Below are 16,123 nucleotides of genomic sequence, written 5' to 3'. Positions count from 1 at the left end.
AGAATTCTGGAGATGGATGGTGGTGATAATTACACAGCCATGGATGTGAATATACTGCCACTGAATTTACACTTAAGTGGTTAAAATGGTAAATTTTATGTTATGAATGTTACCACAATTTTAAAATATTAATCAAGAAAACAAAGTATTGGCCAGGTGTGGTGGCTCATGCCTGTAATCCCAGCACTCTGGGAGGTCGAGGTGGGCAGATCACGAGGTCCAGAGATCGAGACCATCCTGGCTAACGCGGTGAAACCCAGTCTCTGCTATAAAAAATACAAAAAATTAGCCAGGCGTGGTGGCAAGCGCCTGTAGTCCCAGCTACTTGGGAGGCTGAGGTAGGAGAATGGTGTGAACCCAGGAGGCGGAGCTTGCAGTGAGCTGAGATCGCACACTGCAAGCCAGCCTGGGCGACAGAGTGAGACTGCGACACACACACACACACACACACACACACACACACACACCCAAAGTATTTCGGCCAGGTGCGGTGGCTCATGCCTGTAATCCCAGCACTTTGGGAGGCTGAGGTGGGTGGATCACCTGAGGTAAGGAGTTTGAGACCAGACTGACAAATATGGTGAAACCCTGTCTCTACTAAAAATACAAAAATTAGCCTGGCTTAGTGGCGGGCAACTGTAATCCTAGCTACTCAGGAGGCTGAGACAGGAGAATTGCTTGAACCCGGGAGGTGGAGGTTGCAATGAGTCAAGATCGAGCCACTGCACTCCAGCCTGGGCGACACAGTGAGACTGTCTTGACTAACTAAATAAGATATTTAGTTGTTTGTTACTTGGGGGACCACAGAGGAAGTTGCTGGTGATTCCCCCACGTTATTTTCCAAAATCTTAGTAAAGTGCCACGGAGAACCACAGTGGGAAGAAGTCGGCCCAGGCTCCATCTGGTGCACGGGGCAGAGGCATCCCTCAGTCACAGGAGGCATCCCTCCCGAGGCTCCTCGACCCCAAAGACTATTTTCAGGAACCCTTTGTAACATGGCTCTTATTTTTATACATCAATGTTTTCCTAAAATGGAAGCCAAAGGCACAGCATCAGATCTAACCAAACCACTGACCTTTTTAGGGTCATCACATGTGCCAATTTCACCTACTTCTCATATCTTCCTATTTTCAAAGCTCCCCTCACCCTCAAGGCATAGTCTGGCAGTGGCGGCTCAGCACAGCAAGGATTATGCTATAGGCTCTGCAGGGTGCAGGCCTGCGCCCAATCGCCAGCCTCACCATTTCTCAACTGGCCAGTTTGCAACTTCCGCAGGTGATCTCAGCTCTCCACGTGCCCACCTCTTCACCTGTAATATGGCCACTAAGGCAGCATCTTATTGGGTTACTAGGCCCCCCTGGAGCACTCAGCCTGGCCCAGCCAATCAGCTGCCTTCACCTCCTCTAGACCTCCGGGCTTTGCTCAGAGCCTGGCAGTGCCTCAGAGACACCCCCTGAATGTGTCCGGAATATAACACTTTACTATGAGAACTCAGCCTATGCCCTTCCTGGGGGATTGCAGGGAGCAAAGCCAGGTGTTATGACTTTCCAGATGATATGGAACCCAAAGACGGGCTTCTGCTGAGGCCTTGGTGTACCCTCAGTGCTCCATGATGACACCCACCCTGAGGGCCAGGAAGGCTCCAGTGCTGGGTGAGAAGTCACCTACCTTGATGATGACGCGCTGGTCTGACTGGTCCTCCAGGATGCTGTCCGTGGGGTAGGACTCGATCTGCTGTCTGATGGCAGAGGCGATGGCTGGCACAAACGTCAGCGGGTTCAAATCCAGATCGTCACAGAGGATTTCTGAAAACATCTCAGGCGTCATCAACTTCTCTGAAATCAGGAGAGGGAAGGGATGCCAAGAGATTGCACCATGCTTGGGCATGGACCGGCCTCCCTCACCCCTTCTTCTTTGAAGCCAAACATCTCCGGATGCAGGAGAGGACAACCAGGGCACTGGGGGTGGCCTTCCTGGAAACTGGGAGTGGAAGGAGGAAGCACATGACTAGCAGGCCCCCAGCCCTCATCCTGCACAGACCTCCTGCTCCATGCCCTGGGGGTGGTCATGGCCATAAACACTTCCCTCATTCCACTCATAGCTGGGTGGGCGCATGAGATTATCCCAACTAATGAGATGATCCAGGCGAGGCCAGCAAAGGCACATCAAAGCTTGCGTGCCATCTCTCTACTCCCCTCTGTGCTGAACTGGTGGCAGACGTGATGGCACAGAGGCTGGCCCAATACCAGGCCTCATGTGAGCAAAACACACTGTGCCAAGCCACAGCGATTTCCAGGCCTGTGACTGCAGTAGCAGCAGCAGGGCCTCAACAAGGTCACAAGCGTGGAGGTCCCTACAGATCCCGGATCCTGGAAAAGGAATTGTACCAGATGGGAGCTCACAGGGACCATCTGTGGCCAGCCAGACCTCAGCAAGGTCCTCTCAGTCAACATTCTCTCCCTGCTCCACCCAGACCGTACTGACAAGACGCCTTGCAGGAATAAGCTGAAAAAGCCAAGAAAAATTGCCTCAGAGCAGACAGTAGGATTCCATCATCAAGAAGCAGGTCGGCCTAACAGACCACAGCCCCACTATCTCCTCCCTGCCCTAAAGACACGCTGGAGACCAGCATCCTAACAGCCTGCGGGGCAGCAACAGCAGGAACCTCAGGTGCACGGGGTAAACACCCAGTGAATACACTGCCCAGAGCATTTTAAAATTTTTAAGTAATTGTAGATTCATGTACAGATGCAAGAAACAACACAGAGAAATTCCATGCACACTGCGCCCAGTTTCCTCCAAAAAAGACAAGATAGAGGACTGTATCTGTATCCAGTGATTCATCCAGATTGTCACTTCCTTTTACTGCCAAGTGACATTCTGTGGTACGAAGGGGCCTCACTTTAACTATTCACTCACTGAAGGCTATCTAGATCATTTCCAGTTTCCCGCTATTATAAATAAAGCTGCTATGAACATCCACGTGTAGGCTATTGTATAAACATGTCTTCATTTCTCCAGGATAAATGCTCAAGGTACACTGGTTGCATGTTTAGTTTTTTGTTTGTTTTGAGACGGAGTCTCGCTCTGTCGCCCAGGATGGAGTGCAGTGGCGCTATATCGGCTCACTGCAAGCTCCGCCTCCCGGGTTCACGCCATTCTCCTGCTTCAGCCTCCCGAGTAGCTGGGACTACAAGCAGCCACCACCACGCCCAGCTAATTTTTTGTATTTTTAGAAGAGACAGGGTTTCACCATGTTAACCAGGATGGTCTCGATCTCCTGACCTCGTGATCCGCCCGCCTCGGCCTCCCAAAGTGCTGGGATTACAGGTGTGAGCCACCACGCCTGGCCGCATGTTTAGTTTTTAACAGAAATTGCCACACTGTTTTCTAGGGCAGTTTTCCAGCCACTTTACATTCCCATCAGCAGCTTGTGAGTGACCCAGTTCCTCCACATCCTCGCCAGCATCTGATGCTGTCACCACTTTTTAAAGATGTGGAATAACAGTGTAATTTTAATCTGCATTTCCCTAAGGCTAACAATGTGGAAAAGCTTTTCAATGTTTATTTGCCACCTATATAACTTCTTTAGTGAAATTTCTCTTCCTGTCTTTTGCCTTTTTTTTTTTTTTTTGAGACGGAGTTTTGCTCTTGTTGCCCAGGCTGGAGCGCAACGGCGTGATCTTGGCTCACAGCAACCTCGGCCTCCTGGGTTCAAGCAATTCTCCTGACTCAGCCTCCCAAGTAGCTGGAATTACAGGCATGCGCCACCATGCCCGGCTAATTTTGTATTTTTAGTAGAGACGAGGTTTCTCCACGTTGGTCAAGCTGGTCTCAAACTCCTGACCTCAGGTGATCCGCCCACCTCAGCCTCCCAAAGTGCTGGGATTACAGGCGTGAGCCACTGTGCCCAGCCTTTTTTGTTGTTGTTGCTTTTTTGGGACAGAGTTTCACTCTTGTTGCCCAGGATGGATTGCAACAGCGTGATCTCGGCTCACAGCAACCTCTGCCTTCCAGGTTCAAGCGATTCTCCTGCCTCACCCGCCCGAGTAGCTGGGGTTACAGGCATGCGCCACCACGCCCAGCTAATTGTGTATTTTTAGTAGAGACGAGGTTTCTCCATCTTGGTCAGGCTGGTCTCGAACTCGTGATCTCAGGTGATCTGCCCACCTCAGCCTCCCGAAGTGCTAGGATTACAGACGTAAGCCACTGTGCCAGCCTACTTGCCTATGATTGTCTAATTGCTCCAGTGCCATTTTGTTGAATGAGCTGTCTTTCCTCCATTGAATCACATTTGCATCTTTGTAAAAATCAGGAGGGCACGTTTGTGTGGGTCTGTTTCTGGATTCTCAATTCTGTTCCATCACGGTATGTCACTCCACCAATACCACACAGCCTTGATTATCGTAGCTATATAGTAAGCCTTGAGATTGGGTAGAATGATTACTCCCACTTTACTGTTTTTCAAAATTGCTGGCCGGGTGTGGTGGCTCATGCCTGTAATCCCAGCACTTTGGGAGGCTGAGACAGGCGGACTGCCTGAGCTCAGGAGTTTGAGACCAACCTGGCCAACATGGTAATACCCTGTCTCTACTAAAAATACAAAAATTAGCCAGGCATGGTGGCGGGCACCTGTAATCCCACCTACTCGGGAGACTAAGGCAGGAGAAACGCTTGAAACCGGAAGGTGGAGGTTACAGTGAGCAGAGATCATGCCACTGCACTCCAGCCTGGGCAAAAGAGCAAAACTCCATCTCAAAAAAAAATAATAATAATAATAAATAAATTGCTTTAGCTATTTTAGTTTCTTTGCCTTTCCATATAAATCTTAGAACCATCTTATCTACAAAAAAAATCTTGCTGGGATTTTCACAGAAATTGCATTAAATCTGTATATCAATTTGGGGAAAACTGACATCATCTTGAGTCTTTTAATCCATGAATATGATATGTCTACTTATTTAGGTCTTCCTTCATTACTTTCGTCAGTGTTTTATAGTTTTTGGTATATAAGTCCTGTAAATGTTTTGTTGGATTTATACCTAAGTATTCCTTTTTTTATTGAGTGATGATAAATGGTAATGTATTTTTAATTTGTGTCTAGGTACTCATTAATGGCATATAGAAATAAAATGGATTTCTGCATGTTTACCTTGTATCCCTTGTATCTTGTGACCCTGGGGAATTCAGTTATTAGTTCTCCAAGTTTTCTGTAGATCCCTTGGGATTTTCTACACGGACAATCATGTCATCTGCAAATAGGATTTTATTTCTTCCTTTCCAATCTACACGTCTTTTATTTCCTTTTCTCAGCTTACTGGATTAGCTAGAACTTCCAACACTATGTTGAATAAGAATAGTGACAGCAGACATATTTGGCTTGTTCCTGGTCTCTGGCAGAAAGCATGCAACCTTTCACTATTAAATGCTAGCAACAGAAGGCCAGGCTCTGTGGCTCACGCCTGTAATCCCAGCACTTTGGGAGGCCGAGGCGGGTGGATCACATGGTCAGGAGTTCGAGACATTCCTGGCTAACACTGTGAAACCCCGTCTCTACTAAAAATACAAAAAGTTAGCTGGGTGTGGTGGCAGGGCACCTGTAGTCCCAGCTATCAGGGAGGCTGAGGCAGGAGAATGGTGTGAATCCAGGAGGCAGAGTTTGCAGTGAGCTGAGATCATGCCACTGCACTCCAGCCTAGACAACAGAGCAATACTCCGTCTAAAAAAAAAAAAAAAAAATAGCAACAGGACTTTTTGTACTAAATAGATGCTCTTTACTAAATGGAGGAAGTTTCCTGCTATTATTTTTCTGAGCATTTTTATCATCAGGTGTTGAGTTCTACAAAATGCTTTTTCTGTATCAACTGATCTGATCCTGTGATTTTTCTTCATTAGTGTGTTAATATGGTGGATTACATTGATTGAGCTTCAAATATTGACCCAGCCTTCCATCCCTGCAATAAATCCCACTTGGTCACAGTATATAATTATTTCTATATATTGCTGAATTCTATTTCGCAATATTTTGCTAAGGATTTTGCATCTTTAGTCATAAAGGATATTGGTCTGTATTTTTCTTTTTTTGGTACTGTCTTTAGGTTTGGTATCTAGGTAATACGAGCTTTATAAAATTGATCAGGAAGTGCGTTCTCCTCTTCCATTTTCTGGAAGAGATTGTGTAGAATTGGTGTTAACTCATTCGTCAACATTTGATAGACAGAATTCTCCAGTGAAATCATATGGGCCCAGAGATTTTTTTGGGGGGGAGAATTGTTTTCCTTTTTTAAAATAATGTTTTATATTAAAATTTAATTAGAGATTGGATCCTGCTATGTAGCCCAGGCTGGTCTTGAACTCCTGGCCTCAAGTAATCCTCCCACCTCAGCCTCCCAAAGAGCTGGGATTACAGGTAAGAGCCACCGTGCCTGGCCATTTTTTGGGGTTTTTAAATTACAAATTCTGTTTCCTTAATAGTTATAGGGCAACTCAAATTATCTATTTGACATTGGATGAGTTGTGGTACTTTGTGTTTTGCAAGAAATTAATCCATTTTGTGTAAGCTGTCAAACTTATAGAATTGTTTGCAGTATTCCTTTTGATATCTGCAGGGTCTGTGGTGACATCCCATTTCATTCCTGATATTGATAATTTACATTCTTTTTGTCAGCCTTGCTAGAGATTGCCAGTTTTATTAATTTTTCAAAAAACCAGCTAGTTTTCATTAATTTTCTCTATTGTTTGATTTCTGTTTTCAATGTCATTGATTTCTGCTCTTCAAATGTCCTTCCTTCTGCTTCCTTTGGTTTTGTTTCTCTTGGTTCTTGAGATTAGAGCTTAGATTATCGACTTGAGGAAAGCTTTTCCTGTTTTCCAATGTACGCACTGGTGCTACAGATAATCTGTATTGCACTGTTTAGCTTTATCCCACAAATTCTGATATGCTGCATTTTCATTTAGGTCTGTGTATGTTTTTAAATTTCCCTACAGACTTCCTCTTTGAACCACAGATTATTTAGAAGTCTGTTATTTAGCTTACAAGTATTTGAGTCAATTGTGGTTGGAGAACACACTCTGTATGGTTTCAATTCTTTAAATTTGTTAAAACTTGTTTTATGATCCATTATACGGATTATATGGTATATGTTGCTCAGGCACTTGAAAAGAATGTGCATTCGGCTGTGCTGGAGTGTTCTATAAATGCTAATCAGATTCTGTTGGTCGATAGTGTTTTTGATCTTACATCGTTTTGCTGATTTTCCATCCAGTTCCATCGGTTGTTGAGAGAGGAATGCTGAGGTCTCCAATGATTGTGAATTTGTTTATTTCTCCTTTTGGTTCTATCTGATTTCTATCTGATACTGTTTCACATATTTTCCAGCTCTGTCGTTTGCTGCATACATATTTAGGATTGCTATGTCTTGATGAACTTATCTTTTTACCATTATTTAATGTCCTTCTCTGTCTCTGGTCATTTTCTTTGAAGTCTGCCTTACTGATACTAACATTGTCACTCCTGCTTTCCTTTGATTAACGTTTTATCTTTATCCATCTTTTTTTTTTTTTTTTTTGAGACACAGTCTTGCTCTGTCGCCCAGGCTGGAGTGCAATGGTGTCATCTCAGCTCAACACAACCTCCACCTCCCGGGTTCAAGCAATTATCCCTGCCACAGCTTCCCGTTCCCGAGTAGCTGGGATTACAGGCGCCCGCCACCACACCCAGCTAATTTTTGTATTTTTAGTAGAGACAGGGTTTTGCCATGTTAGCCAGGCTGGTCTTGAACTCCTGACCTCAGGTGATCCGCCTGCCTCGGCCTCCCAAAATGCCGCGATTACAGGCATAAGCCACCATGCCCAGCCTTAAAGCCTTAAATCTTTCTACATACCTTTAGAACCGTATCAGATACTGTTACAATTTTTGCTTCAACTGTCAAACATAATTTGTTAAACCCAAGAGGAGAGGAAAGTCTATTTTATTTATCTACATTTTTTCTTATCATGCTTTCTTTTGTTCCTTCCTGATGTCTCAATGTTTCTTCTTTAATCTTTTCCTTTCTTTCTTTTTTTTTTTTTTTTTTTTGAGACAGAGTCTTGCTCTGTTGCCCAGGCTGGAGTGCAGTGGCGTGATCTCGGCTCACTGCAACCTCCGCCTCCCAGGTTCAAGTGACTCTTCTGCCTCAGCCTCCTGAGTAGCTGGGACTACAGGCGTGCGCCACCATGCCTGGCTAATTGTTTTTGTATTTTTAGTAGAGATGGGGTTTCACCATATTGGTCAGGCTGGTCTCAAACTCCTGACCTTGTGATCCGCCTGCCTTGGCCTCCCAAAGTGCTGGGATTACAGGTGGGAGCCACCATGCCGGCAATCATTTCCTTTCTTTTAGCCACTCTTTTAGGGAAGGTCTGCAGGGGATAGTTTACTTTTTCTTTTTTTTTTTTGAGTTGGAGTCTCGCTCTGTCACCCAGGCTGGAGTGCAATGGCGCAATCTCTGCTCACTGCAACCTCTGCCTCCCGGGTTCAAGTGATACTCCTGCCTCAGCCTCCCAAGTAGCTGGGATTATAGGCATGCGCCACCACGCCCGGCTAATTGTTTTTGTATTTTTAGTAGAGATGGGGTTTCACCATGTTGGTCAGGCTGGCCTCCAATTCCTGACCTCGTGATCCGCCCGCCTCGGCCTCCCAAAGTGCAGGGATTACAGGCATGAGCCACCCCGCCCAGCACTTAGTTTTCTTTCATCTAAGAATGTCTTGACTAAGAATGTCCAATATCGTTCATTCCTGAACAATATTGTCACTGGGTACAGGATTCTAGATTAATAGTTCTTTTCTTTCAGTACTTGAAAAATATCATGCCACTTCTTCTAGCCTCCAGTTTCTCATGAGAAATCTACCATCATTCGGCTGGGCGCGGTGGCTCATGCCTATAATCCCAGCACTTTGGGAGGCCAAGGCGGGCGGAACACGAGGTCAGGAGATCGAGACCATCCTGGCTAACACAGTGAAACCCCGTCTCTACTAAAAAATACAAAAAATTGGCCGAGCACAGTGGCTCACGCCTGTAATCCCAGCACTTTGGGAGGCCGAGGTGGGCGGATCACCTGAGGTGGGGAGTTCAAGGCCAGCCTGACCAACATGGAGAAACCCCTCTCTACTAAAAATACAAAAATTAACCGGGTATGGTGGCACATGCCTGTAATCCCAGCTACTCAGGAGACTGAGGCAGGAGAATCACTTGAACCCGGGAGGTAGAGGTTGTGGTGAGCTGAGACTGTGCCATTGCACTCCAGCCTGGGCAACAAGAGCAGAAACTCCGTCTCAAAAAAAAAAAAAAAAAGAATGTCCAATATCGTTCATTCCTGAACAATATTGTCACTGGGTACAGGATTCTAGATTAACAGTTCTTTTCTTTCAGTACTTGAAAAATATCCTGCCACTTGCTCTAGCGTCCAGTTTCTCACGAGAAATCTACCATCATTTGGCTGGGCGCGGTGGCTCACGTCTGTAATCCCAGCACTTTGGGAGGCCAAGGCGGGCAGATCATGAGGTCAGGAGATCGAGACCATCCTGGCTAACACGGTGAAACCCCATCTCTACTAAAAAATACAAAAAATTGGCCGAGCACAGTGGCTCACGCCTGTAATCCCAGCACTTTAGGAGGCCGAGGGTGGGTGGATCACCTGAGGTGGGAGTTCAAGGCCAGCCTGACCAACATGGAGAAACCCCTCTCTACTAAAAATACAAAAATTAACCGGGTATGGTGGCACATGCCTGTAATCCCAGCTACTCAGGAGGCTGAGGCAGGAGAATCACTTGAACCCGGGAGGTAGAGGTTGTGATGAGCTGAGACTGTGCAACTGCACTCCAGCCTGGGCAACAAGAGCGGAAACTCCGTCTCAAAAAAAAAAAAAAAAGAATGTCCAATATCGTTCATTCCTGAACAATACTGTCACTGGGTACAGGATTCTAGATTAACAGTTCTTTTCTTTCAGTACTTGAAAAATATCCTGCCACTTGCTCTAGCGTCCAGTTTCTCATGAGAAATCTACCATCATTTGGCCGGGCGCAGTGGCTCACGCCTGTAATCCCAGCACTTTGGGAGGCCGAGGCGGGCAGATCACGAGGTCAGGAGATCGAGACCATCCTGGCTAACACGGTGAAACCCCGTCTCTACTAAAAAATACAAAAAATTGGCCAGGCGCCGTGGCTCACGCCTGTAATCCCAACACTTTGGGAGGCCGAGGTGGGCGGATCACGAGGTCGGGAGATCGAGACCATCCTGGCTAACACGGTGAAACCCTGTCTCTACTAAAAAATACAAAAAATTAGCCGGGCATGGCGGCGGGCACCTGTAGTCCCAGCTGCTCGGGAGGCTGAGGCAGGAGAATGGCGTGAACCTGGGAGGCGGAGCTTGCAGTGAGCCGAAATTGCGCCACTGCACTCCAGAGTGGGCGACAGAGACTCCGTTTCAAAAAAAAAAATACAAAAAATTAGCCGGGCCTGGTGGTAGGCGCCTGTAGTCCCAGCTACTCGGGAGGCTGAGGCAGGAGAATGGCATGAACCCGGGAGGCGGAGCTTGCAGTGAACTGAGATCGCACCACTGTACTCCAGCCTGAGCGACAGACTCCGTCTCAAAAAAAAAAAAAAAAAATTAGCCGGGTGTGGTGGTGGGCACCTGTAGTCCCAGCTACTCGGGAGACTGAGGCAGGAGAATGGCGTGAACCCAGGAGGCGGAGCTTGCAGTGAGCCGAGATCATGCCACTGCACTCCAGCCTGGGCGACAGAGCAAGACTCCATCTCAAAAAAAAAAAAAAGAAAAAAAAAGAAATCTACCACCATTCTTATTGTCTTTTCCCTACAGGTAAGTTGTCCTTTTTCTCTGATTGCTCTCAAGATTTTTTTCTTTGTGTTGAGTTTCCAGAAGTTTAATTATGATGTGTCTTGGCATGGATTGCTTTGGGTTAATCATGTTGGGCTTCACTTGGCTTCCTGAATCTATCATTTGATTTTTTTTTTTAACTTTAAAAAAAAAGTTTTTGAGACAGGGTCTCACTCTGTTGCCCAGGCTGGAGTGCAGTGGCTCAATCACGGCTCACTGAAGCCTCAACCTCCCGGGCTCAAGCTATCCTCCCACCTCAGCCTCCCAAGTAGCTGAGATCACAGGCACGTGCTACCACATCTGGTGAATTTTTGTAGAAATGGGGTTTCACCGTGACACCCAGGCTGGTCTTGAACTCCCGGGGTAAAGTGATCTGCCCACCTCAGCCTCAGGCGTGAGCAACTGTGCTCAGCCTCATTTAACTTTTTTAGAGCCCAAAACAAGCATGTGGATATAAATCTCTAAAAACTTGCCTTCTGTAGCCAAGTGTAGACACTCAGGGCCCTAATCACTCCTTTGCCTGTGTGCCAAGACAGATTCCAAAACTCTTCCTGAGGGGATCCCCTTGTTCCCCTTCTGGGTGAAGATGGCATCTATGTCCACATGTGTTCTGGTTAGGCAACTCATCTTTTCTGGAGGATTTTAATACTTCCCTCCCTCAGCAGGCTGTTAAGCCAGGTGACACCATACATCACCAGTGATTCAGAGAAGCACTACTTCAAGTCCTTTTCAGAGAAAATAACCTCAAACTCATCACAACACCTACCAGAAACCTGAGAAAAATCCTGATTCCTTTTTTTTTTTTTTTTTTTTTGAGATAGAGTCTCACTCTGTCGCCCAGGTTGAAGTGCAATGCCACAATCTCAGCTAACTGCAACCTCTGCCTCCCAGGTTCAAGCGATTCTTGTGCCTCGGCCTCCCAGGTTGCTGGGACCACAGGTGTGCCACCACATCCGACTAATTTTTATATTTTTAGTAGAGAGGGGGTTTCACCATGATGGCCAGGCTGGTCTCAAACTCCTGGCCTCAAGTGATCTTCCCACCTCACCCTCCCAAAGTGCTGGGATTACAGGCGTGAGCCACCACGCCTGGCCAATCCTGATTCTGAAGGTGGGCTGAACATACACTTCATTCGTGCTACTCAAGTACTGCTACTTCACATATTTAATCCCTCTGTGATAAAGACTCTCATGCCCACCTTTAAGATGATCTGAAATTTCAAAGCAAATCAGTAACAATTTTGGCATGGCATCTAACCACCAATTAAGAATCACAGCTCTTACAAATGCCAAATACCACCCAGAGCTGAGGAAGAGTTCGCAGAACAACACTATTTTGGTTCTCCACTGGTTAAGACTTTGTTCTAAATTACTTTCAGTGGGCATCATATTTTACATTAGAACTCCTAGGAGGAACAGCCCAGTGAAACTCACTGTGGAGTTCATGGACGATCCTGGTCTTCCTTACTATACTGTGCCCTCTTCCTGAGGGCTGTAGGAAATCTCAGATTCCAGGACCACGTGTGATTCTACTTCTTCAGAGCCACAGGCTGCTGCTAACCTTGACCACACTGAGTATGCAAATGATTTTCACGTCTCATTCTGCCTGGTTCTAAAAAGGCCCAGAGCCACGCCCAACTCCCAGCAATGTTCACCAAATAAAAGCTGAGTACGAGCTCCCTCTTCAACTTGAACATTTCCTCTTTATCCAGTTTTTCCTAACCACTCCGTTTTCATTTGCTTTAGTCATTTGGGCCCAGTGTACTTATGGTAAGCTTCCTTGCATCCTTTCTGGAACAGGGCGGGGGTATAAACAAACCAGAACTTTCTATGTGTTGCCCAAAGAAAGGTAACGAGACAGAGCATGGACTGATCCAATTGGAACACTAAGTTCCTATGCTGGGCTAGATTCTATGTTAAGAGAAACAGCAGCCGGGCGCGGTGGCTCACGCCTGTAATCCCAGCACTTTGGGAGGCCAAGGCGGGCGGATCACCTGAGGTCAGGAGTTTGAGACCAGCTTGACCAATATGGTGAAATCCCGTCTCCACTAAAAATACAAAATTAGCCAGGCATGGTGGCGCATGCCTGTAATCCCAGCTACTCGGGAGGCTGAGGCAGGAGAATCACTTGAACCTGGGAGGCGGAAGTTGTGGTGAGCTGAGATCACGCCATTGCACACCAGCCTGGGCAACAAGAGTGAAACTCCATCTCAAAAAAAAGAAGAAAAACGGCAATGAAAAACAAGGCCCCTGACCTTAAAGGGTTGAAATGGAGAGGGAGAGAAAAGAATTAACAAATAACTATGATGTGGGCCAGCAGAGATAAACGGGGAGCTTGGCAGAGATAACAGGCATTGTGCAGCACTGGTGGCCTGGTCCCCATGGGCTGTCCTGTCCCTGTTCTGGGGCATGACCAGTGAACTGTACCTGTCCCCATCTACACTCAATACAACCTCCCGGAGTCTCTTGCCAGTGTCCTCCCTCACCCATGTCTCCTCCCACTGGCGTCCCCCCTCACCAGCTGACCTGTGGGACCTACGGGACAAGCACCCGGCACATGGCTCTCAGGCCTTCTTCTCAGGGCTGAGCAGAGGCCTTCGGACTCAGGCCTGGCACTGGTGTGAGCAAGTGGTAGGCCTAGCACTCAGGCCTACCATGCTGAGCGCCTGGGGATGACCAAAGGAAGCAGCCTAATCCTTCAGAAAGCTCAAGGCAGCCACATATCAACAACCACTCATACTCTCCTCCCTTAGGAAATCCCTTCTGAGAGAAAAATGCTGCAACTACGTTATCTGCTGTGGAGCCGTCTACAGCAGGGGGAGTTTTAGCAAACAAAGGCGCCTTGACCCAGGAGAAAATGCTGCATTGTTTGAAGATTAAAGAAATCAGAAAGAGGCTGGGTGCAGTGGCTCACGCCTGTAATCCCAGCAGTGTGAGAGGCCACGGCAGGCGGATCACCTGAGGTCAGTTCAAGACCAGCCTGGCTAACATGGTGAAACCCTATCTCTACTAAAAATACAAAAATTAGCCAGGCATGGTGGCACGCGCCTGTAGTTCCAGCTACTCAGGAGGCTGAGGCACGAGAATCGCTTGAACTTAGGAGGCGGAGGTTGCAGTGAGCCGAGATCGTGCCACCGCACTCCAGCCTGGGCGACAGAGTGAGACTCCATCTCCCCTCCCAAAAAAAAGAGAAACCAGAAAGATACTTATGATAAGTGAAGAAAAATAAAACGATACTTGCTCTATAGTGACAACTATGTTAAATATGTTTGCATGTGGAATTGACAGAAAAGGTAAAACTGAAAACATTATTCAGGTGGTGAGATTCTGATGATTTTAAACATTTACTCATTTAAAAATGGTAACGCTTGGCACAGTGGTGCACACCTGTATTCCTAGCTATTTGGGAGGCTGTGGCAGGAGGACTGCTTGAGCCCAGGCAGTTCAAGATTACAGTGAGCTATGAGAGTATCACTGTACTCCAGCCTGGGCAACAGAGTGGGACTCTGTCTCTTAAAAAAAAAAATAAGTAAAATAAAGATGATATTCACTGCATTTTGTCTGAATATAAATAGTATGTTCATTATAAAAATTCAGCAGGATACAGACACTAAGTAAAAAAAAAACTGGTATGCAACAAGATCTAAAAAAACAGTAATCATAAAATAAAATAATAAAAATACATTCTAACAGACTTAAAAATAGAGAAAACAATAAATGCATGCATGATCCACCCTCCCAGATGGGATAAGCAGTCTAGACACCTGGGATGCATATCCTTCTAACCTTTCTGTCTACATTTGCACAAAGACCGAGTTCTGTCCAGGCTTTGGAAGCCCAGGAAGAGCCAGAAGAGATGGCATCTGACCCAGGACTTACAGAGTGAGGATGTCTAGAGATGACCAGTTAGAGGAGGAGAGAGGCACGGGGCACACATGCAGCCTCACACAGCAGAAGCAGAGTGGTGGACAGGACCCAAGGCAGGTGTGTGCAGGGCTCGGGGGCTGAACTAGGTCTGACTGGCATTGTCATCATCATCCATGCTATGCAGATCAGCCGCCTCCCATGCCAGGCCTCTTGGGCCACCCAACCTCAGTATGGGGAAAGAGTCCAAAGTTCACAGGCCCAATCCACAGTGAACAGCAACAGAACCAGGACTGAACCCAGAGCCCACACCCTCCAAAACTATGCCCCGATGTCCTGCGTGTCAGGTCCAGAATCTGCCTGACAGGCAGCTGGCAGGAAACGGGACTGTTCCCACGTAACACACAGGGGTTGGGGCCAGGCCCAGCCAAGCCCGACTGCCTTGTACCATTCATGTTCCAGGTGAAGGCGTCTCGCAGCTTCTGCCCATCGATCTCCATGTCCAGCCGGATGGGGACCAGCACCTCGGGCTGAGATGCGTTCTCATGGATCACAGCTGGGTCATGGTCATCAAAGCTGAAAGTGAAATGGAAGCAACAGTCAGCGAGGGGGCCGGAGCCCTAGGTATGCAAATTTTCAGCCTCTCTCTCTGCACAGCAGGCTTCTGCAAACCCATCTGGGGAAGATGGCCGCTTGTCAGCTAACAGCTGAGGCAGCAGACGAGGCTAGCAGGGGTCCCGGGGCCACGGTCTAATGGGGACAGTTGGGGCCATAAATAACAAGCACCAGTCTGTCTGCAATAGAATCGACCTGGGCAGTGTTGGAACAACACCCAGACATCCTGTGAAGGGATATTTAAGCCTGAAATTTGGCAGGACTTTCATGGAAGGCTATGGGAAAGGAGAAGGGCATTTCCAGAAGAGGAAATATTCTAGCAAGGCCAAGGCAGGTGAATGGAGGAACTGCTGAGGACGTACAAACAGACCACAGAGCACAGATTCCGTGAGGAGCAGTGGTCAGGGATGCTGCAAAGCTAGCGGGTGTCGAAGCACCCACAGTTCTTCCCTCAGGCTATGCAAACTGGCCACTGCCCTGAGGGAGTCCCAGGAGGATTCCAAGCAATGGAGTACTTTGGGAAGATAAAGAGGGAAGAGTCCGGCAGGCAGGTTGGTGAAATGGAGCTGGAGGACACAGGACACCTAAGGGCGTCTGGGAGCATGGAGAGGGCTGCGAAAGGCCCCCAGTGACCTTGGGAGGTAGATGGAAGACAGAGAAAAGTGAGCTGAGTGCCAGGCATGAATGCGCTGGGAAACAGACAGGGAAAGGGGCAGGGATGCTGCAGAAAAGGGGTGGCCACTCTAAGGGAGAAGGGGACAGTCAACTAGGGAT

The 16,123-nt window shown here is 47.3% G+C and overlaps 1 protein-coding gene across 4 annotated transcripts in view, besides 3 other annotated features; it reads right to left on the bottom strand.

The window, feature by feature from the left end:
• The window catches only part of SMARCB1 (SWI/SNF related BAF chromatin remodeling complex subunit B1), a 51,044-nt gene that overhangs the window by 19,405 nt on the left and 15,516 nt on the right, over positions 1-16,123 (bottom strand). For all 4 annotated transcript variants that reach the window (NM_001362877.2, NM_003073.5, NM_001317946.2 and 1 more), the window contains exons 5-6: positions 15,183-15,310; positions 1,669-1,835 (exon numbers count right to left, since the gene is read on the bottom strand). In NM_001362877.2, the coding sequence (NP_001349806.1) occupies positions 1,669-1,835; positions 15,183-15,310 (295 nt within the window). The remainder of the gene's footprint in view (positions 1-1,668; positions 1,836-15,182; positions 15,311-16,123) is intronic.
• Positions 1,672-2,173: an enhancer, noted in NCBI's record as "H3K4me1 hESC enhancer chr22:24158619-24159120 (GRCh37/hg19 assembly coordinates)". NCBI's record gives its function as "activates a minimal SCP1, AML or CMV promoter by ChIP-STARR-seq in primed H9 embryonic stem cells {active_cell/tissue: H9 hESC(primed)}" and the evidence as "EXISTENCE:reporter gene assay evidence [ECO:0000049][PMID:30033119]".
• Positions 2,174-2,675: an enhancer, noted in NCBI's record as "H3K4me1 hESC enhancer chr22:24158117-24158618 (GRCh37/hg19 assembly coordinates)". NCBI's record gives its function as "activates a minimal SCP1, AML or CMV promoter by ChIP-STARR-seq in primed H9 embryonic stem cells {active_cell/tissue: H9 hESC(primed)}" and the evidence as "EXISTENCE:reporter gene assay evidence [ECO:0000049][PMID:30033119]".
• Positions 14,687-15,187: an enhancer, noted in NCBI's record as "H3K4me1 hESC enhancer chr22:24145605-24146105 (GRCh37/hg19 assembly coordinates)". NCBI's record gives its function as "activates a minimal SCP1, AML or CMV promoter by ChIP-STARR-seq in naive H9 embryonic stem cells {active_cell/tissue: H9 hESC(naive)}" and the evidence as "EXISTENCE:reporter gene assay evidence [ECO:0000049][PMID:30033119]".

Source organism: Homo sapiens, chromosome 22 (genome assembly GCF_000001405.40).
Source record: "Homo sapiens chromosome 22, GRCh38.p14 Primary Assembly".
NCBI classification, from domain to species: Eukaryota; Metazoa; Chordata; class Mammalia; order Primates; family Hominidae; genus Homo; species Homo sapiens.
This window is presented reverse-complemented; position numbering and strand designations above follow the sequence as displayed.